The sequence below is a fragment of the Homo sapiens genome, chromosome 15 (assembly GCF_000001405.40).
Source record: "Homo sapiens chromosome 15, GRCh38.p14 Primary Assembly".
NCBI classification, from domain to species: domain Eukaryota; kingdom Metazoa; phylum Chordata; class Mammalia; order Primates; family Hominidae; genus Homo; species Homo sapiens.
In genome coordinates this window covers 50,695,188-50,719,084 of record NC_000015.10, presented here as the reverse complement: position 1 = coordinate 50,719,084, position 23,897 = coordinate 50,695,188, and the positions used below count along the sequence as shown (strand labels likewise).

Genomic DNA, 23,897 nt, shown 5'->3' with positions numbered 1-23,897 from the left:
TTTTTTTCCCCCTAAATGTTCTTGGTATTCCAGTAAAGTCTGTTTGCATTGAAATTAAGAAGAGTTGGGAAACCCTAGCCTATTGAGGTCAGGGCCATGGCACTGACCCCTTCATGAAGGCACTTTGTGAGGCAGTTAGCTCTGCTTTCCCCTATTACAACTACCACTCTCCTCCATCCACCCTCATGCTTCTGTGTCAGTTGACACGTGAACAAAAAGAGAGACACTTTGGATGGGTGGCTGAAACTCTGATAGTAGATAAACAGTTCAAAGTCCATGTCCATCTTGTGCTTGGTCTTTCATGTCATTTATAGTGTTACTTAATGAGAGGTGGTTAACACATTAAGTTACAGACTACTATGATTTGAAAAAACACTGGTTTAGAATTCTTTTGAGGAAATCTTAACATTTCTTTGAGATTTGGTTAAGCTAATAATACCTGTCTTGCCTACATCACAAAGCTGTTGTCTCAACTTATACTGTTATACATAGAATTAGTTTATGATCCTAATGCCCTTGACTAAACTAGTAAGGTAACTTTTAACTTTTCTATTGAAGATGACACTCACATAGGTTTTTTATAGATTTTTAAAAATAAAGTGTATCCTATGATATACACTATGCTAATAACATCTAAAAATCACATCTCAAAAAGTACTCTACATCATTTTTTAATGGTTTTATATTTCTTCATTTAGCAAATGTTTATGAGTGATTCTATGAGAGGATACTATTTTTGGTATTGGTGATACAAGATGATCAAGTTGGAAAGAGGCCTATTCTCATGACCTCTTGAAAGTTACAGTCTAGCCGGTCGCGGTGGCTCATGCCTGTAATCCCAGCACTTTGGGAGGCTGAGGCGGGAGGATCACGAGGTCAGGAGATCGAGACCATCCTGGCTAACACGGTGAAACTCCATCTCCACTAAAAAATACAAAAAAAATATTAGCCGGGTGTGGTGGTGGGTGCCTTGTAGTCCCAGCTACTCGGGAGGCTGAGGCAGGAGAATGGCGTGAACCTGGGAGGCGGAGCTTGCAGTGAGCCGAGATCGTGCCACTGCACTCCAGCCTGGGGGACAGAGCAAGACTCCGTCTCAAAAAAAAAAAAAAAAAAAAACGAAAGTTACAGTCTAGTGAGGAATAGACATAAAGTCACTAACAATAAAGTGTGATAAACCTATTAGTTACGGCAGGTGCCATGAAAACTATAGATGGGATATCCAGTGCTTGTGGTTTCAGGAAAGAGTCCTAGGTGATTTGGGGAGGGCTTTCTAAAGAATATTAAATTTATGTCCAGACTTTAAGACTGAGCTGTGTGTTCCATGTTGAAGGAACCATGTCTTCCGAGGCTCAGAGGGAAGAGAACATGGCACATGCTAGAAACTCAGTGAAGGTTAGGATGGCTATAATGCTGAGTAGAGGGTTACGGGAGTTACAGGAAATGAAAGCTGGAGAAGGAAGCAAGAGTGAGAGCCTTGTATGTAGCATCTTATAAGCCACATTTAAGAGTTTGGACTCTATACTAAGCACTGGAGACCATTTAAGGTTTTAAGAAATCTAGAAAATTAAGGGAGCAAAACTGGGGACAATTATTGCAATAAGAAGTGATAGAAGGCCAGACATGGTTGTTTATCCTGATAATTGCAGCACTTTGGGAGGCTAAGCCAGGAGGATCACTTGACCCCAGGAGTTTGAGAGCAGCCTGGGCAACATGTGAGACCCTGTCTCTACAAAAAAGAAAAAATTTGCTGGGCGTGGTGGCACATGCCTTTGGTCCTAGCTGCTCGGGAGCCTGAGGTGGGAGGATTGCTTGAGTCCGGAAGATAGGGGCTTCAGTGGGCCATGATTGCACCACTGCACTCAGCCCGGGCAACAGAGCGAGTGAGACCCTGTCTCAAAACAAAAACACAAACAAAAAAGAAGTGATAGAAGCCTAAATTAGCAAAATAGTGAGATGGAAAGACGTGAACAAAGTTAAGAGAAATTTAGAGGCATAATAGGGCCTCATGATGGAGTCAGTATGGGTGGAGGAAAAGAAGTAGAGTTCAGGGCTTCTGGATTGGGAAACTGAGTGGGGGGATGGTGATGAAGGAAAGGCAACAGGGTTGAGGAAGATGATGATGAATTCAGTCTTGAACATTTCAGAAGTACCTATTGGATCACCACAAAGAGAGAAATAATAGGCAGTTGAATAAATAGGTCTGATGTGCAAGAGACAGACCTGGCTAGAGATAGATAATTGGGAGTACCATTAGCATACAGAATAAAGAGTTGAGAATGTAGAGGCAGAAGAAAAGACTCAGGACAGGCCTGTGAGCAAGAGATTTCTATTATTAGGGGTACTTATCTGATTAACTGTAAATCAGGACAAAGAAGACAAGCAACATCAGGAAATTTTATTGTGAGTTGACATTAAATCTTTGTTTAGTTTAGAATTGAAATTTAGGATTGTTAGTGAGAGCACATGTGCTGTCTTACAGAATTATGTTTCTTGTTATTTTCATTGTCAGAATTTATTTTTACTTATAAAAAATTCATTTCCCTTTCATACAGCTTTTAAAGTATTTTATTATTAAAAATATATGCTTATAGGCTAGGTGCAGTGGCTCACGCCTGTAATCCCAGCAGTTTGGGAGGCTGAGGCGGGCAGATCACCTGGGGTCAGGAGTTTGAGACCAGCCTGGCCAACATGACAAAACCTCATCTCTACTAAAAATGCAAAAATTAGCTGGGCATGGTGGCACATACTTGTAATCCCAGCTACTTGGGAGGCTGAGGCGGAAGAAGTGCTTGAACCTGGGAGGTGGAGGTTGTAGTGAGCTGAGATTGCGCCATTGCACTCCAGCCTGAGTGATAGAGCAAGACTCCGTCTCAAAAATAAATAAATAAAAATAAAAATATGTGATTATAGAAAATTTGGAAAATATTTTTTAAAAATACAAGAGGAAAATTAAGTCCGCCCATAATCCTACTACCTAGAGATAGTTAAGGTTTAAGTGAATTTCCTTCTGTGCCTTCTCTGGATAAATGGATAGACGAGTGAATGATACTATAAATAGTTCTCTTTCTTTTTCAGTGCATTTTATATTTTATTTTAAATTCCTTATAAAATTATTTTAATGGCTATATAATATTTCCTTATATGCATATATCATACTTTGTTATTTACTTTGACCCAGTAATTTCTCTTAAGGTATTTTCAGAAAATGATTAAAAATTTGGGCAAAAATGATGTGAAAAGATGTTCATTATAGTAATTCTAGTCTTCTTTGTTCTATTTTAATGTCTTGTAGGTTAATATTATTGGTAGTTAATTTACTAAAATTTTTACATAGACCTTTACTGATTGCATTTTAGTAATTTTTCTTTTTTGTATCTTAATTACAAATTAGTGCATATTTGTGTTTTTAAAATAAGCAATACAAAAGTGTCTAAAGTAAAAATGGGAGTCCTTTTTCTAACCATTCTTCCCCCACCCCCACCCTTAACGGGCAGCTACTGTAAACAGTTTCTTTCTTTGTAGCTTCCATATCTTTTTGTGCTAACTCATACTGGAAATAGTTGAATATTTAGAGTTGTTGTATACATAAAGTTATTAACATTGCATTTCTTTGGAAATATTCTACAGCACATTTTTTCCTCTGGTTGATTCTAGCACCTTTCCTCCTTCTTTTTCCATAATTGTTACTGACACAGGATTGTAGTTAAGGAAAGATTTCAACCAAGGGCTACATTTGTATTCCCAGTGAACAAATGCTTTGCCCTGGACCATCCAAGTTTCATTCTTAGGCCGGGAGCGGTGGCTCACACCTGTAATCCCAGCACATTGAGAGGCCAAGGCTAGTAGATCACTTGAGATCAGGAGTTCGAGACCAGCCTGGGCAACATGATGAAACCGCATCTCTACTAAAAATACAAGAAAAAAGTAGCCTGGCATGATGGCACACACTTGTAATCCCCAGCTACTCAGGAGGCTGAGGCAGGAGAATCTTTTGAACCTGGGAGGCAGAAATTGCAGTGAGCCAAGATTGTACCACTGCACTCCATCCTGGGCAACAGAGTGACACAGTCTAAACAAAAAAAAACACCAAAAAAAACTTCTTAAAAATCATGATCTTGAGAAAAATTTTTTGGGCGGGGAGGGGTGGCGGAATTTGCTCTATCACCCAGGCTGGAGTACAGTGGCACAATCTTGGCTTACTGCAACCTCCACCTCCTAGGTTTAAGCGATTCTCCTGCCTCAGCCTCTCAAGTAGCTGGGATTATAGGCATGCACCACCATCCCTGGATAATTTTTGTATTTTCACTAGAGACAGTATTTCGCCATGTTAGCCAGGCTGGTCCTGAACTTCTGACCTCAGGTGAACCCACCTGCCTTGGCCTCCCAAAGTGCTGGGATTACAGGCATGAGCCACCGTGCCCGGCCAAGAAAAAAAATTTTTTTTTTTTTTTTTGAGATGGAGTTTCACTCTTATTGCCCAGGCTGGAGTGCGATGATACTATCTTTGCTCATTGCAACCTCCACCTCCAGGGTTCAAGCGATTCTCCTGCCTCAGCCTCCCAAGTAGCTGGTATTAAAAGCATGCGCCACCATGCCCAGCTAATTTTGTATTTTTAGTAGAGATGGGGTTTCACTATGTTGGTCAGGCTAGTCTCAAACTCCTGACCCTCGATGATCCACCAACCTCGGCCTCCCAAAGTGCTGGGATTATAGGCGTGAGCCACCATTCCTGGCCTGAGAAAAAAATTTGCCTCTGCTTCACAGCAGCTACCTACAAAGGGAAAGAACACTGTTGCTAGTCACTAAGTAATAATAGCCCCAGGAGGGCAGACATCAGGAGCTTTACCATATAACATAGTAGCTAAGTAAGGCATTTGATTGTAGGAAAATCTGTTTAAAAGCGTATAAAAACATAGGCCAACTTTGTTAATAAAATTCTCACTTTCTAGTGTAGTATCGTAATTGTATTAGGTAAAGACATTCAGAATACAAAATAACCCATAGAAGTAAAGAGCATAGAGTCTAGTACCAGGCTGCCTAAATTTGAATTCTAATTTTGTTAATTATTAGCTGTGTAGCCTTGGGCAAGTTGCTTAGCTTCTTGGTGCCTCAGTTTTTCTACATAGTAAAATGGGATAACAACCTATTTCAGAGGGTTGCTGTAATAAATATGTTAATATCTACAGATTGCTTATAGGTGCTGTGAATTTATTTGCTATCATTATTTGTAGGAGTGAGGATTTTTTGTTTTGTTGTTTGTTGGTTTGGTTATTTCTCGACTCATTGACTAAATTTTCATTTTCCTGGTCTGGATATGAAAACTTTGGGTTTTTGTTAAATCTGCTTCCTTTAACTTACTCGTAAAAGAACAAATTCTGAGCTATCACAAGCTGCAGAGAAAAAATTATGTTTAGACTCAGTCATTTTTCTCATTATGCACAAAATGTTGAAATATGGGAAGGGACATTTGCTCAAATTTTAGGCAACTTGCAGGATGTTAAAAAAAAAATACTCAGGAAATGCTGGGCGCGGTGGCTCACTCCTGTAATCCCAGCACTTTGGGAGGCTGAGGTGGGTGGATCACCTGAGGTCAGGAGTTCGAGACTAGTCTGACCAATATGGTAAAACCCTGTCTCTACTAAAAATACAAAAATTAGCTGGGCATGGTGGCAGGCGCCTGTAGTCCCAGCTACTCGGAAGGCTGAGACAGGAGAATTGCTTGAACCTGGGAGGCGGAGCTTGCAGTGAGTCGAGATTGTGCCACTGCACTCTAGCCTGGGCGACAGCAAGACTCTATCTCAAAAAAAAAAAAAAAATACTCAGGAAAGAGTATTTTTTCAGAAAACTAGCATTTTTGAAAGTTATGTAATATAATGCCTTTACAAAATTATTTCCCTTTTAAAAAGAAAATCTCTCATTGTTTATGTCCAACATTTAAAATCAAAATTAGCTTACCTTGAATGTTGTCATTTGTGGGAGACAGTGTATTGTGGCCTTTGACATCAGTTCTGACGAATAACTTAATCTCTGAAGACTGTCTCCTCATCCATAAAATGAGATTGGATCTACAGGGAGGTAGGGGAATAAGAAATCCATAGTGGGGCCGGACATGATGGCTCATGCCTGTAATCCCAGCACTTTGGGAGGCCAAGGCGGGCAGATCACGAGGTCAGGAGTTTGAGACAGCCTGACCAACATGGTGAAACTTCTGTCTCTATTAAAAATACAAAAATTAGCCAGGTGTGGTGGCAGGCGCCTGTAATCCCAGCTGTTTGGGAGGCTGAGGCAGGAGAATTGCTTGAACCTGGGAGGCAGAGGTTGAAGTGAGCCGAGATCGAGATCGCATCACTGCACTCCAGCCTGGGTGACAGAGCAAGACTCCGCCTCGAGAAAAAAAAAAAAAAAGGGGGGGGGAGGGAGGGAGGAAGGGAGGAAAGGAAGGAAAGGAAGGAAGGAAATCCATAGTGGTGGGTTAGCTTAAGGCTTGGTGTGAGGCAGGTGGATGTTGAAATCTGTTAAGGCTAGGCAGAGACTTCTGAAATAGAATGGGGAGCTTTTACATGCCTGGTGAGACAGAGGGAGACTTGATATGGTTCCACTGTGAGATGGGCCTGAGGGTCAGCTCTGGCTCATCTCTTAGGCTAACAGTGTAATAATAATCATTTGCTTCTCTCTCCCAACCTCCATCATCTCCTAAGCTTTGTCAGTTTCTATTTCCAGAATATCCCTATTTAACTCCCAACTTAAATTCTGCCTTCTCCAAGCAGATCTCTAAGAAATTAGAAGGAAGTAGGCGCTCCAATTAAAATCACATTTACCTTTCACCGTAATTTTTTAGACTTTGTACTTTAAATACTTACTAACATCTGCCCTGCAGTGCAGGTATTTATATATGCCTCCCTCACTAAGTATTAGCTGTTACGTATTAGGAATCCACAATGCTTATGACAGTAGTCTTTATGCTGTAAATTCTCAGGTAATGTTATTGAAAGTCTTTATGCAGTGCACCTCTAATGCTCAATCCTTCATCCACTGGCCTTTAGTTACTTTTGCATGTGTGTATAAGCTTCCTGATTGTATTTCAGCAGCCCTTATAAAATGACTGTAATTGTCATATGCCACTGTAAAAGTGAGGCACTTTTAAAACATTAAACTAGACATGTATCTCTACAGTCTTTATGTGCAATCTTTTTTTGTAAATATTGCAAGTTTTTGCTGCTGTTTTGAAATAATCAAAGACAAAACAGGTAATATAAAGTTACAATCTAAGGCTAAGGCAAATTTGTTTATACTATTAGTCATTTGGTTCATTCGAATGCCTGATAATAGAGTTGAGTGCAAGATTATTGGTAGTAAAAAGCAGGACTTTTCACTGGAGACTCTTTAAATGTCCAGGTACCCCTGGCAGTCTTTCCATGCTGTTTTTAGGGGGCAACTTATACCTCACTTGTAACTTGGAGACCTTATTGAAATACTTCAGGATCTTACTTCGAGTCTTTCAGCCCTTACTGTGAGTTTCTCTCATCAAAAGAAGTAATGTTTCTATAGGGTTTCACTAAAATAATACTAATTTGGCCTGGGCGCGGTGGCTCACGCCTGTAATCCCAGCAGTTTGGGAGGCTGAGGCGGGTGGATTGCCTGAGGTCAGGAGTTCGAGACCAGCCTGGCCAACATAGTGAAATCCCATCTCTACTAAAAATACAAAAAATTATCCAGGCGTGGTGGCGTGTGCCTGTAATCCCAGCTACTAGGGAGGCTGAGGGGGGAGAATTGCTTGAACCCGGGAGGCGGAGGTTGCAGTGAGCCGAGATCGCGCCATTGCACTCCAGCCTGGGCAACAAAAGCAACACTCCATCTCACAAAAAAAAAAAAAAAAAAGGATACTAATTTGGAAATACTAATTGTAAATTATTTTCTACAGCCCAAAACTAGTTACACTGTATTTCCTATGAACATTTTTTGTGGAATGCTTCAAGAGCTACAGTACTCAGACCCACTTATTTGATTTTATGTGAAGTCTTAGTTCTAATTAGTATAAAGCAAATAAAGATACTTTTTTCTCAGAAGAGAAAAATCAAGCAGAGTCATAATTACTTTGGCATATAGCACAATGAAAAGGAGTCATCATTTTAGGGGATATTTTTTGCTTCTGTAATGAAATAAGTGGAGTTAAATTTGTGCAGCAATATCCAATGGGCTATTTTTCTCTGGGCAGGTAGTAAGTTTTCAGTTTGTGATACCCAGTAAACAGTGAGTTGTGTCTGTTAAATGTCACTAGTACTTCTCATTATTTTTAGAAGTCACAAGCTGTAACTGACAAGTCAGAATACAGAGATAAGTTAGAACAACTCTGCTTTAGTATCAGCAAGTCTCCAGTTACCCTGCATTAATGAGTGTTTTATTAGACTATTTCTGGAGATTGGTTCAATTATAAGCAAGCAGAGCTATCAGAAAATGCCAGGTTAGCTGATCTGATTTCAGAGCCCATCTTTCCAAATCAAGCTTTCCTGTTTCCAAATATGATGAAAATGTTTGGCAATTTTGTCAATTAATTGTATTATTTATGTTAATTTATTGTCATATTTTTTAAAACTTTGTTCTTTATGTTTCTGTATTGTTTTTATTGGAAAGTCAGTAAAGAAAAGTAAATAGGGAATAGAGATGCTTACTTCTCAATAAGTTGACTTTGAAAGTGGTTTTTTTAATTAATATATTTCTATGTTCAGGGATTAGATTATATAGTGCCAGTGAGGTACCTGGGGATTAGGAAAGAAGAGGCAAGTTAGATGGGACTGACTCACTACCTACTGTGCTAACGAGGCACCAGGGAAGCATGTTATAATTTAGGGTATGTGGGCTATCATTTCATTAGATTACAGTTGCCAGGGTAAGCAGATCGTGGGGAAGAAAGAGGGTTTCTCCACCATCCATTCTGCTGAGGCTGCTTCAATTTTCTCTCTACACAGCCCTAATCTCTTAGACCCAGAACTTTTAAATTCCTAGAAGAAGAGGGGCCTAAATATATCTTACATACTTTTCCTTTCCCCTCTTCATTTAAATTGACTAAAATTAAATGTTCAACATCTTCATCTTATGTTTCATGTAGTGAACTGCTTAATGTTATCTGTCTTGATTTGGCTTTTGTTTTTTTCCCCTTAGAATTGCTACAAACTAGTGACCTTAAATCTAGGGGATATCTTTGGCAATTAGAAGACCTCAAAATGGTTTTGGGTCTTGAAATGGCTTGTAGAGTATCAGCAGGTTTTTTATTTTTTTATTTTTTTTATTTTTTTGAGACAGGGTCTCTCTCTCTATTGCCCAGGCTGAAGTGCAGTGGCGCGATCTTGGGTCAGCAAAGCCTCTGCCTCTCAGGTTCAAGCAATTCTCCCACCTCAGTCTCCCGAGTAGGTTTGGGATTACAGGCGCACCACCACGCTTGGCTAATTTTTGTATTTTTAGTAGAGACAGGGTTTCACCATGTTGGCCAGGCTGGTCCCGAACTCCTGACCTCGTGATCCACCTGCATCGGCCTCCCAAAGTGCTGAGATTACAGGCGTGAGCCACCGCGCCCGGCCCAGGTTTTGATTTTGTAAGCTGTCTCCATTAGTTGAGACAGTTGTCAGCCAAAAGCCTTAGCTCACGTTGTATTCTTTCTGCCTGGCAAGTCAAGAGACCCTGTTTCAAGATGATTCCACCCTCTTGTTCTTCTTCCAAAAAACACTAAAGCCTTCAGAACCACTTTTCAAAAATAGGAACATTTATCTTGCTGATCTTTCCTTCTTCTAATTCTTGATGAAGGAAAGGAAAAAAGTGCATCGCAATACTGAAATTTAATCACTAGTCTAAAAGTCTTTAACAGTCTTCACAAAGGCATTAAATACTTTTTTCTATTTTTAGTAATTGTATTTGAGTTGCTGAAACACTGAAAGCATTTAAACAGTTTCTTCATCCTTCATTTCCAAATATAAGACAATTTTTTATGAGAATATAGGCAGAGCTGAAGTGACCATTTGAGAAAAGTTTAACTGGTAATTTCTTTTTTTTTTTTTGGTCGGAGTCTCGCTCTGTCACCCAGGCTGGAGCGCAGTAGCACGATCTCGGCTCACTGCAAGCTCTGCCTTCTGGGTTCATACCATTCTCCTGCCTCAACCTCCCAATTAGCTGGGACTACAGGCGCTTGCCACCACGCCTGGCTAATTTTTTTTTGTATTTTTTTGTAGAAACGGGGTTTCACTGTGTTAGCCAGGACCATCTGGATCTCCTGATCTCGTGATCCACCCACTTCGGCCTCCCAAAGTGCTGGGATTACAGGCATGAGCCACCGTGCCCAGCTGATAATTTCTTTAAAATAGTCTATAGCAAATGTATTTTTTTTTTTTTTTGACAGAGTCTCACTCTGTTGCCAGGCTAGAGTGCAGTGGCGTGATCTCGGCTCACTGCAACCTCCGCCTCCTGGGTTCAAGCAATTCTCCTGCCTCAGCCTCCCGAGTAGCTGGAACTACAGGCGCCCGCCACTACGCCCAGCTAATTTTTGTATTTTTATTAGAGACGGGGTTTCACCATCTTGGCCAGGCTGGTCTCGAACTCCTGACCTCATGATCTGCCCATCTCAGCCTCCCAAGGTGCTGGGATTACAGGTGTGAGCCACTGCGCCCGGCCTAGCAAATGTATTCTTGGTTTTGTTTTCAGATATCATATGACCTCAAGTTCATTTTTTGTAGAAATTATTATAATGTTTCCAAAGTTTAAATTATCTTACGGTTATTTCAAGGTGTCAATAATATCACACTGTCCCAGAGTCAGCAGGTATTCTCACAGTGACTCATGAGGCCATTTTTAGTTTTCCCATTTGTATGATTGGACACTGCCTGGAATAGTGTCCTGGAATAAGTGTCAGGAATATCTTCCTTTTGTTCTGGAGTTCTCACTGCCATGAAGGGCAGTATTCATATTGGGAAATGGAGATAACGGAAGATCCAGAGAACACAAATTGGCTTTGAGTCATGTGATTAGGCTTCCTGAGAGGTTCAGTGTCACCCTGACTATCTCCTTAGAAGTGTGGATGTTGAACCAGAACAGTGCTCCAGAAGGAGTGCTCAGTTTCATAGAGCAATCTGTGTTTTTTAGAAAAAGAATCCTTTTGCTAATGTAGTGAATATTGGGGGCAAGTTGAAATTTTGCATTTCCTAACGTCTTTTATTTATGCCTAGATGATGGACCATTTGGATTGTGCAACAAATGAAGAAAACCCTGTGATATCTGGTGAACAGATTGTCCAGCAATAATATTATGTGGAACTGCTATAATGTGTCATTGATTTTCTACAAATAGACTTCGACTTTTTAAATTGACTTTTGAATTGACAATCTGAAAGAGTCTTCAATGATATGCTTGCAAAAATATATTTTTATGAGCTGGTACTGACAGTTACATCATAAATAACTAAAACGCTTTGCTTTTAATGTTAAAGTTGTGCCTTCACATTAAATAAAACATATGGTCTGTGTAGTTTCCGAGATGTACTATATACAGTATATTTTTCTAAAAAAAAATGCCTTGACCCACCCCTATACTTTTTTTTAACGAAATCTGTTTCTTTCAGCTCTGATGGTAGATACAAGTAGTTACTATTTCTGAATGGGTTTTACTGTAAAGAATTATGCAAATTGGCCAGGCGCGGTGGCTCACGCCTGTAATCCCAACACTTTGGGAGGCCAAGGCGGGCGGATCACGAGGTCAGGAGATCGAGACCATCCTGGCTAACACGGTGAAACCCCTCTCTACTAAAAATACCAAAAATTAGCTGGGCGTGGTGGAGGGTGCCTGTAGTCCCAGCTACTGGGAAGGCTGAGACAGGAGAATGGCGTGAACCCGGGAAGTGGAGCTTGCAGTGAGCCAAGATCACGCCACTGCACTCCAGCCTGGGCGACAGAGTGAGACTCCATCCCAAAAAAAAAGATTTATGCAAATTATATCTGCTCTGTAGAAATAACTGTTTAACACCATGCAAGAAGGCGGTTCAACGGTGAAAATTTGGACCTTATATCACTGCAGAGGTTAGAAATACATAATTTTGGAAATATAAGTGCATATTTTTGTAGTATTTTTTTAAACCCAATCCTTTCATAAACTTGAGAACTGAAATTACTTCAGACTGCACGTGTATTATATTAAGAACATTTTTCCAGATATAGAGAAACATAATATATAGAACTAGTCACTAAAAGGAGACAGACACTGAAATCTAGTTTTCATTGGTTTGACAGCCTTTTTTTTTTAAATGTAGCTTAAATTTCAGTACTAACATTCAGTTTCACTTTGGTATTTCTGATCTTTGCAATTTGGTTCTGTTAATGTTAAGGTTTGATTTTTTAAAAAAATTATTTTTCTTAAGAAATTATGTATTAATACATATGGCTCATCGTTGAATACAGCATTCCTAACATTATCCCACATTCCCCCACTCCCACCCGTTATCTTTTTTTCTTCCTGATGCCCACCCCTTTTCCCATAGGTAATGATTCTTAATCTTGGTGGAGGATGTACAAAGTGCGGTTCAGAGAAAAGAATTGGCAACAACAGCAAGAGACTTGGTGTTAGTCTCAGTTTAATTACAATACAAGGAAGAGTTGAGTAATTTGCCGCATCTCAAGACCTTGTATCTCAGTTTTCTTTTTTTTTTTTTTTTTTTTTTTGAGACGGAGTCTCGCTCTGTCGCCCAGGCTGGAGTGCAGTGGCGGGATCTCGGCTCACTGCAAGCTCCGCCTCCCGGGTTCACGCCATTCTCCTGCCTCAGCCTCCCAAGTAGCTAGGACTACAGGCGCCCGCCACTACGCCCGGCTATTTTTTGTAGTTTTAGTAGAGACGGGGTTTCACCGTTTTAGCCGGGATGGTCTCGATCTCCTGACCTCGTGATCCGCCCGCCTCGGCCTCCCAAAGTGCTGGGATTACAGGCGTGAGCCACCGCGCCCGGCCATATCTCAGTTTTCTAATCTGTAAAATGAGTAGGTTAGACCAGCTAATCACTCTGGTACCTTCCAACTTGAAAAAAGTTTTTTCCCCATTCTTTGGTAAATTTTAGATGTGGCCTGAACATTCTCCTGGAAGTCAGAGGTCAAATTATCTTTCCATTTTCTTTTATTTTAGTAAGAATTTCGCAAATGACAAGTGATAACAAAGGCAGCAGGATTTTTCATTTCTCTGTAAATAATGTATAAAATATGTGAACAGAACTATATCTTTCATCTAAGGCCAGTTCAATTTATTAAAAATAAAACTAATGCCTTTTAAAATTGATCAGACCTTTGATACTTGAACTAAATTTTGCATTAGAGACTTTTTAAAAATTGTTCGCTTTTGCTGAATAAATTGCAAATAGAGAAGCTTCATTGACAGTCAGTCCCTCTCTGCTTAATGCAGTTATGGGTCCTTTCGTTTATGGCAAATGACTTACCTGACAAGAGTTAATTTTGCCTCCATTGTATCAAGTTTGAATATTTTCCAAGAAATCTGATTTATTTGGCAGACTCTGAGAGAGAGAACAGATTAAGTGCCGTTTTAAAACTCTGTATTTTCATTTATAATAATAAAATATTTGCCAAAATACAGCTGTTTTGTAAAATTATCTGCACCCTCATCCAAGCTTTATATTTAATAGCCTTAATCACATTTTATGAAGAATGTTAAAGAAAATTTTTTTTTTACTACATCGAAATGAGATAATTAATTTCTTTTTTTTTTTTTTGGAAATGGAGTCTCCCTCTGTCACCCAGGCTGGAGTGCAGTAGCAAGATCTTGGCTCACTACAACCTCTGCCTCCTGGTTCAAGCAATTTTCCTGCCTCAGCCTCCCAAGTAGACGGGATTACAGGTGCGTGCCACCACACCTGGCTAATTTTTGTATTTTTAGTAGAGACGGGGTTTCACCTTGTTGGTCAGGCTGGTCTTGAGCTCCTGACCTCATGATCTGCCCGCCTCAGACTCCCCAAGTGCTGGGATTGCAGGCATGAGCCACCGCGCCTGGCAAAATAAGATAATTTCTCAAAATAATTTGGTTTCATATAACTGGAGTAGTAATTAATATTTTAACTTCATCAACTAGATGTATCTCCTCAGTAGCATAGTAACTGGTACATCCAGAAATCTGAAATCCGAGTTACTTGATACAAATTCTACTTTATCTAACCATTAGTTATTAAGGAGGTAAAATCTTGTTCTAATTTGCTATTAAAATCTTATTGGTTAAATAGAAATAAGAAAAAGTATAATTAAGTTTCTTCATCCTCAATGTCAACTTTATATTGTAATTAAATGTGTAGCAACCAAGCTGACAATAGTGATTAAGAAATTAAAGTACAGAAATATTTTATTTGGGGACTCAAAATGAACAAAAGATAGATAAGATTAAAATTTCACTTAAAAAGCTGCCATCTCTTCCTCTCTTGCCCTCCCACCACCAATAACTTTAAGGGGAAGAGAAGCTGGTTTTTTCCCTAAACATGTCTTTAAAATAATGATACACTGTATTTATTAATTCTTGATGCAAAAAAAAAAAAGTTAGAAAATCCCTTTGAACATTTTTGTGGCTTATCAACAGAAATCACTATCTCAAATTGTAATGTAGATTACTTTTGTCTCAGTTTAGTTTAGCAAAAATAAATGTGAGGCTTGTGGGGAAAGACCTTGATATTCTAATACATTATATTTTCTTCTAGCTTGTAGATTTTTTTTTTTTTTTTTTTTTGAGACAGAGTTTCGCTCTTTTTGCCCAGGCTGGAGTGCAATGGCATGATATCAGCTCACTGCAATCTCCGACTCCCGGGTTCAAGCAATTCTCCTGACTCAGCCTCCTGAGTAGCTGGGATTATAGGCATGTGCCACCACACCCGGCTAATATAGTATTTTTAGTAGAGACGGGGTTTCTCCATGTTGATCAGGCTGGTCTCGAACTCCCAACCTGAGGTGATCCGCCCGCCTCAGCCTCCTAAAGTGCTGGGATTACAGGCATGAGCCACCGTGCCTGGCACTTGTAGATTTTTTTTTAGATTAGCAATTCCTTAGTAGAATCTGCAATTTATTTCTCTTTTAAAGAGAATTTTAACCCATCTGCTATTGGCATTCTTATATTTTACTTGTCCATAGAGATTTTAGTGAATTGATACATTTATAATAAATACAAATGAGCTTTCCAGTTTTCTTTGCTCTTTCAATTTATGCTTTAGTATAAGCAAAAATTACTATTTTTACATTTTTAAAAATTGTGGGTACATGTAGGTGTATATATTTATGGAGTGCATGAGATGTTTTGATACAGGTATGCAATGTGAAATAAGCGGATCATGGAGAATGGGGTATCCATTCCCTCAAGCATTTATCCTTTGAGTTATAGACATATTTTACATTTGAATAAAAAATATTTGAACTAAGGCCGGGTGCGGTGGCTCACACCTGTAATCCCAGCACTTTGGGAGGCCAAGGCGGGTGGATCATGAGGTCAGGAGTTTGAGACCAGCCTGACCAACATGGTGAAACCCCGTCTCTACTAAAAATACAAAAATTAGCTGGGTGTGGTGGGGCTCGCCTGTAACCCCAGCTACTCAGGAGACTGAGGCAGGAGAATCGCTTGAACCTGGGAGGTGGAGGTTGCAGTGAGTCGAGATCACACCACTGCACTCCAGCCTGGGCGACAGAGCGAGACTCCATCTCAAAAAAAAAAAAAAAAAAAAAAAATATATATATGTATATATATATATATATATATGTATATATGAACTAATTTATTTAGGCTTAATCTCTAAAATTTCAGCCTGATCTTAACCAATGAAATTTCAAAAACAAAAACTGTACTTCAGTCTACAATTGAATGGAATTCAGTGTAGACCAGTACAATGGAATGTACTGGCTGAGATGGGAGGGTCCCTTGAGCCCAGGAGTTTGAGGCTGTAGTGAGCTGTGATTGTGTCTGTGAATAGTGACTGCACTCCAGCCTAGGTGACATAGCAAGATGCCATCTCAAAGAAATATAGATATATAACATAAAATAAATAACTTTATACATTTCCTGGAGGAAAAGTACTCTGTAAATTCAAGAGATCTGAATCAAATTACTCAACCTTTTGGAATTTGATCCTCTACTGTAATACTCATATGCTAGATTACTGAATTTTCAGAGTGAAAAAAAATTGACAGGGTAATATATAGGCCATATTATAGTGAAGATCATAAGTATAAATGTCCTCGTTTAATCTTTCCATATTGAGGACAGCCTCTGCATATAAAAATGTTCATTGGGAGAAAAATTATTTTTAAAACTAAATTTTTATAGTAGTCCTCCATTACTGGCAATTAAGGAGCAACCCACAAAATGTCATTATGTGGTTCTTTGATTAGGCATAAAAAGTATTGCAAACAGCTTTTCTATTCCTTTGGAATATGAATCTTTTTAATGTCTAAAGTTAACCTGCAACATTTTCTAGTAGGACAAGTCAATGTAAATTAGGTAATTTTTGCCTGTTTTATACCTTCTGTTGCATTTTGTTCAAATGAAAACATTTTTTAAAACATGATTGAATTTTTACTTCTCAGATAATTGGTTTGAGTGTGGAATTTCTTTTTTAACACTTTGATATGTAAGTTAGTGTAAATTAATACTTTTATAACACTACTAGGCTTTATATTTTTATGGAATGTTTTAAAATTTGAAATTTTTGAAGTGTTAATTTAGCAGTACTTTATCATTATGTGCCAATACTGACAAGAAAAACAATTTTTTATGTATTTAATATACTATGGTATTCAATAAATTCTATTTTAAAATAAAATTTGAATTTGTTTTATTTTGAATGAGGAAACTAATTGAAAATGAACTAACAGTGTGCTAGATAGATCATGTTCATATAACACAAAAATGGTAATAATTGCTTAAGAAATTATGTAGCTATTTAGGTTTTACAAATTATCCTTAAAACCTAGATTCTGGCCGGGCACGGTGGCTCACACCTGTAATCCCAACACTTTGGGAGGCCGAGGTGGGCGGATCACGAGGTCAAGAGATGGAGACCATCCTGGCCAACATGGTGAAACCCCGTCTCTACTAAAAATACAAAAATTAGCTGGACGTGGTGGCATGCGCCTGTAGTCCTGGCTACTCAGGAGGCTGAGGCAGGAGAATCACTTGAGCTGAGGCAGGAGAATCACTTGAGCCCGGGAGGTGGAGGTTGCAGTGACCGAGATCGTGTCACTGCACTTCAGCCTGGCGACAGAGCAAGACTCTGTCTCAAAAAAAAAAAAAAAAATAGATAAATAAATACCAAGGTCTATATAGGCTATTTTTTACCAAAAAACAAAGTCCCACCCCTTGTGATGAACAATCCTGGCATTTGCATTTTTGCTGATATTGTTCCCAGAAATTACCAAGATCCTTGCTGCCATTGTACTTTCTTTTTAATTCAGATGAGATTGGCCTTGATATGTATTGTAGTTTGTCTTGATGATATGTTGAGAAAATCCTGTTCTTCCCTCCATACAGGAACCTTCTGTCATACTACAGGCCCATATATCTGGAAAGATACATAACTTTCCAGAAACTGGAAAGAGTGGCTTTTTTTTTTAGGGAGAAAGGAAGTAAGATGGCTAGGGCACCGGAGTGAGGACTTTTCCATGTATACTTTTTTTTTTTTCTCATATTTAATATTTTGAAAAATAGAGACGAGGTCTCACTATGTTGCCCAGGCTGGTCTCAAATTCCTGAGCTCAAGTGATCTGCCTCAACCTCCCAAAGTGCTGGGATTACAAGCATGAGCCATCAAGCCCAGCCTATACTCTTACTTTCTGCATTTTCTATCATATGCTTCTGTTATGAATTTAAAATACAAATACCATAAGAATCTACTGAGTTAATTTTGGGGGGATGTTATAAAATTTATTCGTTTAAACATTCAGATAATTATTTTTCTCTTAATAAATAATCATACTAACAGCTGGTTAAATAGTAAATTATTCATATCATTTTCTTTTTTTTTTTTTGCGACAGAGTCTTGCTCTGTCGCCCAGGCTGGAGTACAGTGGCACAATCTTGGCTCACTGCAACCACCCCCTCCCGGGTTCAAGTGATTCTCCTGCCTCAGCCTCCCAAGTAGCTGGGAATACAGGTGCACGCCACCACGCCACACCTGGCTAATTTTTTGTATTTTAGTAGAGACGGGGTTTCACCGTGTTGCCCAGGCTGGTCTTCAACTCTTGAGCTCTGGCAATCCGCCTGCCTCGGCCTCCCAAAATGCTAGGATTACAGGCGTGAGCCACCATGCCTGGCTAATTTTTGTATTTTTAGTGGAGACGGGATTTCACCATCTTGGTCACACTGGTCTCGAACACCTGACCTTGTGATCTGCCTGCCTCGGCCTCCCAAAGTGCATGAGCCACCTCGCTTGGCCAGATCAATAGTTTAAAATTTTTTTTGTTGTGACGCTTACCCTACTGACCCACGACAAATTAAAAATAAAGCAAAAATTAAAATATCACTGAAAAGCATTAGTGCCAGAAAATGAAAACAATGACCATTCTAGGTAACACTGATGATAAAATGTTCTCTCTAAAAAAATTTTGGAAATTCCAATTACCTGTGTATGAGCCCTTAGAATAGAAGCATTGCACTTGTAGCAATAGCCAGACTTCTTAGCGGACTTCTGGAGAGAGATCGCTGTAAACTATAGTAAGGCACTAATTCTTTCTTCCTTAGGAGGCTATGGGCAAATATTAACAGTTCCTAGTCAGCTAAAACTGAATGTCTACAGTTTGGCATATCATTCTGTTAAAAGCAATTTAACAATTTAGATCAAAGAGTCACTTCTCTAGATTAAGTGGGAAAAGGTACCAATTGGCTTCTAATTAGTAAGTCACCTATAAATAGGCTCTGCTACCTATTTAATTATATAGAAAACCAAATAATTTTTTTATAAATGTGAAAAATGTTTCATCCACAAATGTGTTAATATGTATGTGCAACACTTTTCCACTGAAGTCTCACCAACTATTGACCAAATTCAGTCCCTTTCAATGCAGAGAAATAAAATATACAAAGGCAGTTGCCAAGTCCTCTCCATTCTGTCTTCCAGTTGTCTCAAAAGAGTTCCAGGAATCACCATCCCCACCACCACTAAATTAACTTAATCTGTCTGTACTGTAACAGTTTCTTAATGGGTCTTCCAGCCATTAATTGTGCCACTGATTCCCTTTCCACATCATAGCCAGTGATCTTTCCAAAGTGGAAATCTGATCATTCAACTACAGTGCTTTAGAAAAACCCTTAACAGCACCTAATTTATCTAAGAATAGTCCAAAATCGTTAGCATGATTTTTTTTTTTTTTGAGATGGAGTTTATACAATGGGAAATTAAGTTGGAAATGAACAGGGGCTACACTAGTCAGACCTTAAAAATCACATTAACGCCTGGGCGCGGTGGCTCACACTTGTAATCCCAGCACTTAGGGAGGCCAAGGCGGGCGGATCACCTGAGGTCGGGTGTTTGAGACCAGCCTGACCAACATGGAGAAACCCCCTCTCTACTAAAAATACAAAATTAGCCGAGCATGGTGGCCCGTGCCTGTAATCCCGGCTAATCGGAAGGCTGAGGCAGGAGAATCGCTTGAATCCAGGAGGCGAAGTTTGCGGTGAGCCGAGATCGAGCCATTGCACTCCAGCCTGGCGACACAGCAAGACTCCGTCTCAAAAAGAAAAAAGAATAATGAGACAAGGATTGACTTGGTGGCTCATGCCTGTAATCTCAGCACTTTAGGAGGCTGAGGCAGAGCTCAAGATCAGCCTGGGCAACATGTGGGACCTCGTCTCTAAAAATAAAATTAAAACAAAAAAAGACAGAGGGCCGGCGAGGTGGCTCACGCCTGTTATCCCAACACTTTGGGAGGCTGAGGCAGGCGGATCAACTGAGGTCAGGAGTTCAAGACCAGCCTGGCCAACATGGTGAAAACCTGTTTCTACCAAAAATACAAAAAATTACCCAGGCATTGTGGCAGGCACCTGTAATCCCAGCTACTCAGGAGGCTGAGGCAGGAGAATCGATTGAAACCGGGAGGCAGAGGTTGCAGTGAGCGGAAATCCTGCAGTGAGCGACAGAGCAAGACTCCATCTCAGAAAAAAAAAAAAAAAAAAAAAAAAAAAAAAAAAGAGGAAAAATAAAAACAGTGAGACATGTATATATACACTCATACACATAAAAACCCATACAGTAACTTTGAATTGATGCCATTTATCTTGCATTTTAGGATATTCCTTAGCTCATCTTACAATGTTAAAATTTTATTATAATAAATTGACATTAACAATGTTAATATATCATAGAAATAGAAATGTGATTACATCCAGTGTCAGAAAATCAGATCTTTTTTTTTTTTTTGAGACAGTCTCGCTCTGTCGCCCAGGCTGGGGCTGGAGTGCAGTGATGCGATCTCAGCTCACTGCAACCTCCGCCTCCTGGTTTCAAGCGATTCTCCTGCCTCAGCCTCCCGAGTAGCTGGGATTACAGGTGCCTACCACCACACCTGGCTAATTTTTGTATTTTTAGTAGAGATGGGGTTTTACCATTTTGGCCGGGCTAGTCTCGAACCCCTGACTTCAGGTGATCTACCCGCCTCAGCCTCCCAAAATGCTGGGACTACAGGAGTAAGCCACCGTGCCTGGCCCCAACAATAATATTCTTAATCAACATAGGGCTTTGCTGAATTCAAAGGGGAATTTCTCTCTATGGTTACCAGTAATTTGTCCTGGCTTTTGCCCAAATCTAGTCACTTGGGGCAGAGTTTTAGAGCTTTAGGAAGAAACTTTTTTCCCTTTTAGAAATAAACACAGGCCAAAGAAAAGGTTATTAAAAGTGGGAAAATATGCCAGGCACAGTGGCTCACGTCTGTAATCCCAGCACTTTGGGAGCCCGAGGCAGGCAGATCACGAGGTCAAGAGATCGAGACCATCCTGGCCAAATAGTGAAACCCCGTCTCTACTAAAAATACAAAAAAAAGTTAGCCAGGCGTTGTGGGGCGCGCCTGTAATCCCAGCTACTCGGGAGGCTGAGGCAGGAGAATCGCTTGAACCCGGAAGGTGGAGGTTGCAGTGAGCCAAGATCACACCACTGTACTCCAGCCTGGAGACAGAGCAAGACTCTGTCTCAAAAAAAAAATAAAGTGGGAAAATATTTAAAAATTTTTTAGTTGTATATTGTGTAAGTGATTAGCATATCACATATAATACAATTGAAAGAAGCCTGATTTTCATCCTCTCAATTATTCAAGAAATACTTATTGAATACTTATGATATGCCAGCCACTGTACTAAGGTACTGGGGTTAGAGATTAGTGTTTGAAACATTCCAGGTATTTTTAGTTGGCATTTTATAAGCTTTCCACTAGCAAATGAGGGTAATTCTTTTGAAAGAGTCCCTAAGAAAGAAAATCCATTAATCCTCTATCCAAAGTACAGCAAAATTTGTTGGAACTGGTTTAATCACCTTCTGCTTATATAAACAAAGGCTTCTGTAGTCATTTGCCAGGCATCTATGAGTGTCTGAGTTTAAATGACAGAGAAAGTTACATAAAATGGAGATCTCATATATTGACTCTATCTTTGTTTTCATGCTTTAAACAATTTTAATTGTTTTAATGTTGTCAACATTCTACGTCCTTTCTTTTTAAAATTTTTTCTTAGAGTCAGGGCCTTGCTTTGTTGCCCAGGCTGGAGTGCCCAGGCTGGAGTGGCATGATCATGGTTCAATGCAGCCTCAAACTCCTGGGCTCCAGTAATCTTCCCGTCTCAGTCTCCCATGTGCTGGGATTACAGGCGTGTTCCCTGTGCCTGGCCCTAAATCATTTCTTTTTATTTATTTTTATTTGTATATATATATATTTTGAGATAGCATCTCACTCTGTCACCCACGCTGAAATGGGATGGTGCAATCACAGCTCACTGCAGCCTCGACCTCCCCTGGTTATTCTCCCACCTCAGCCCCCTGAGTAGCTGGGACTAGAGGCACGTGCCACCATGCCCAACTGATTTTTGTATTTTTTGTAGAGACACAGTTTCGCCATGTTGTGCAGGCTGGTCTCCAGTTCCTGGGCTCAAGCAATCTGCCCATCTCAGACTCCCAAAGACTCCCACTTACAGGCGTGAGCCACCGCACCAGCCCTAAATAGTTCCTTTTTAGTTTTGCGATAAAGTGTGTGTCTCTTTTTCAGTTGCCCAGGGACTCACACTGATGGCAGATCCATTCAGAGAGAAGCCAGAGGCATGATTAATGTGGAAACAATCACATAAGCCAACAATTGGTATCTAGTGCATTAAACAAAGATCTTTGACTGGACCGGGCGCCGTGGCTCATGCCTGTAATCCCAGCACTTTGGGAGGCCGAGGCGGGCGGATCACGAGGTCAGGAGATCGAGACCATCCTGGCTAACACGGTGAAACCCCATCTCTACTAAAAAATACAAAAAATTAGCTGGTCGTGGTGGCGGGCGCCTGTAGATCCAGCTACTCGGGAGGCTGAGGCAGGAGAATGGCGGGAACCCGGGAGGCGGAGCTTGCAGTGAGCCAAGATCACGCCACTGCACTCCAGCCTGGGCGACAAGCCAGACTCCGTCTCAAAAAAAAAAAAGATCTTTGACTCGTTGATTAAACAGGTTGAGGTAAAGATTTTGTGAGAGACTGAATCACATACAATCTGTTTTCTATTGTTAGTGACAGATTTCTCAGTTGTGACTTACTGTCACAAGAGGTAATATAGCATAAGGCTCAAGGGCACAAACTCTGGAATTAGACTGTAATGGTTGAAATCCTGGCTCTGCCCTGTGCCTCAATCTTCTCCTTTGTGCAGTGGAGGAATAATAATAGCATCTGGCTTACAGAGTTGAAAGGAGCTAATGAGTTAATACATGTTAAGTGAATAGAACAGCACCCAGCAAGTAAAAAACCACATAATAAATGCTAGCTTTTCAGTATAAGAAGGGAAGGACTCTCATGTCTTCAATAGCCCTACTTCAGATCCTTCAGGATTCTGCTTTTAGTTTGTGTTTTGTTTTGTTTTCTAGAGACAAGGGTCTCCCTATGTTGTCCAGACTGGTCTTGAACTCTTGGACCTAAGTGATCATCCTGCCTTGGCCTCCCAAAGTGCTGGGATCACCAGTGAGAGCCACTATGCCTGGCCTGCTTTTGTTTATCTAAACTTAAACTCTGGCTGGGTGTGGTGGCTCACACCTGTAATCCCAGCACTTTGGGAGGCTGAGGTGGGCGGACCACCTGAGGTCAGGAGTTTGAGAACAGCCTGGCCAACATGGTGAAACCCCGTCTCTACTAAAAATAAAAATTAGCTGGGCGTAGTGGTGCATGCCTATAGTTTCAGCTACTTGAGAGGCTGAGGCAGGAGAATCGCTAGAACCCAGGAGGAAGAGGTTGCAATGAGCCGACATGGTGCCACTGCACTCCAGCCTGGGTGACAAAGCAAGACTCCATCTCAAAAATAAAATAAAATAAATTTAAACCTCTATTTTTGTGAATGTCAACATTTTAAATAATTGTGGGAAACTATAAAACCTGAATACCATAAGAGATAGTAATTTTTTTTTTTTTGAGGCAGAGTTTCACTCTTGTTGCCCAGGCTGGAGTGCAATGGGCACAGTCTCAGCTCACCACAGACTCCACCTCCCGGGTTCAAGTGATTCTCCTGTCTCAGCCTCCAGAGTAGCTGGGATTGCAGGCATGAGCCACGACACCCGGCTAATTTTGCATTTTAGTAGAGATGGGGTTTCGCCATGTTGGTCAGGCTGGTCTCAAACTCCTGACCTCAGGTGATCCACCCACCTCGGCCTCCCAAAGTGCTGGGATTACAGTGTAATAAAAAG

The 23,897-nt window shown here is 40.2% G+C and overlaps 1 protein-coding gene across 4 annotated transcripts in view, besides 3 other annotated features; it reads left to right on the top strand.

The window, feature by feature from the left end:
- Window positions 1–16,819, top strand: part of SPPL2A (signal peptide peptidase like 2A) — a 63,441-nt gene extending 46,622 nt beyond the window's left edge. For all 4 annotated transcript variants that reach the window (NM_001438112.1, NM_032802.4, XM_017022680.2 and 1 more), the window contains one exon: window positions 11,211–16,819. In NM_001438112.1, coding sequence (NP_001425041.1) covers window positions 11,211–11,242 — 32 coding nt within the window. In that variant the 3' untranslated portion in view covers window positions 11,243–16,819. The remainder of the gene's footprint in view (window positions 1–11,210) is intronic.
- Window positions 198–342: an enhancer, noted in NCBI's record as "145 bp enhancer 243 fragment used in the MPRA reporter construct; PK_construct_1869". NCBI's record gives its function as "activates an SV40 promoter by MPRA in HepG2 cells {active_cell/tissue: HepG2}" and the evidence as "EXISTENCE:reporter gene assay evidence [ECO:0000049][PMID:23512712]".
- Window positions 264–277: a transcriptional cis regulatory region, noted in NCBI's record as "HNF4 motif; enhancer activity is reduced when this motif is scrambled". NCBI's record gives its function as "necessary for full MPRA enhancer 243 activity {active_cell/tissue: HepG2}" and the evidence as "EXISTENCE:site-directed mutagenesis evidence [ECO:0005528][PMID:23512712]".
- Window positions 8,206–8,406: a silencer, noted in NCBI's record as "peak2334 fragment used in MPRA reporter construct". NCBI's record gives its function as "represses an SCP1 promoter by STARR-seq MPRAs in K562 erythroleukemia cells {active_cell/tissue: K562}" and the evidence as "EXISTENCE:reporter gene assay evidence [ECO:0000049][PMID:32103011]".
- Window positions 16,820–23,897: the final 7,078 nt, after the last annotated feature.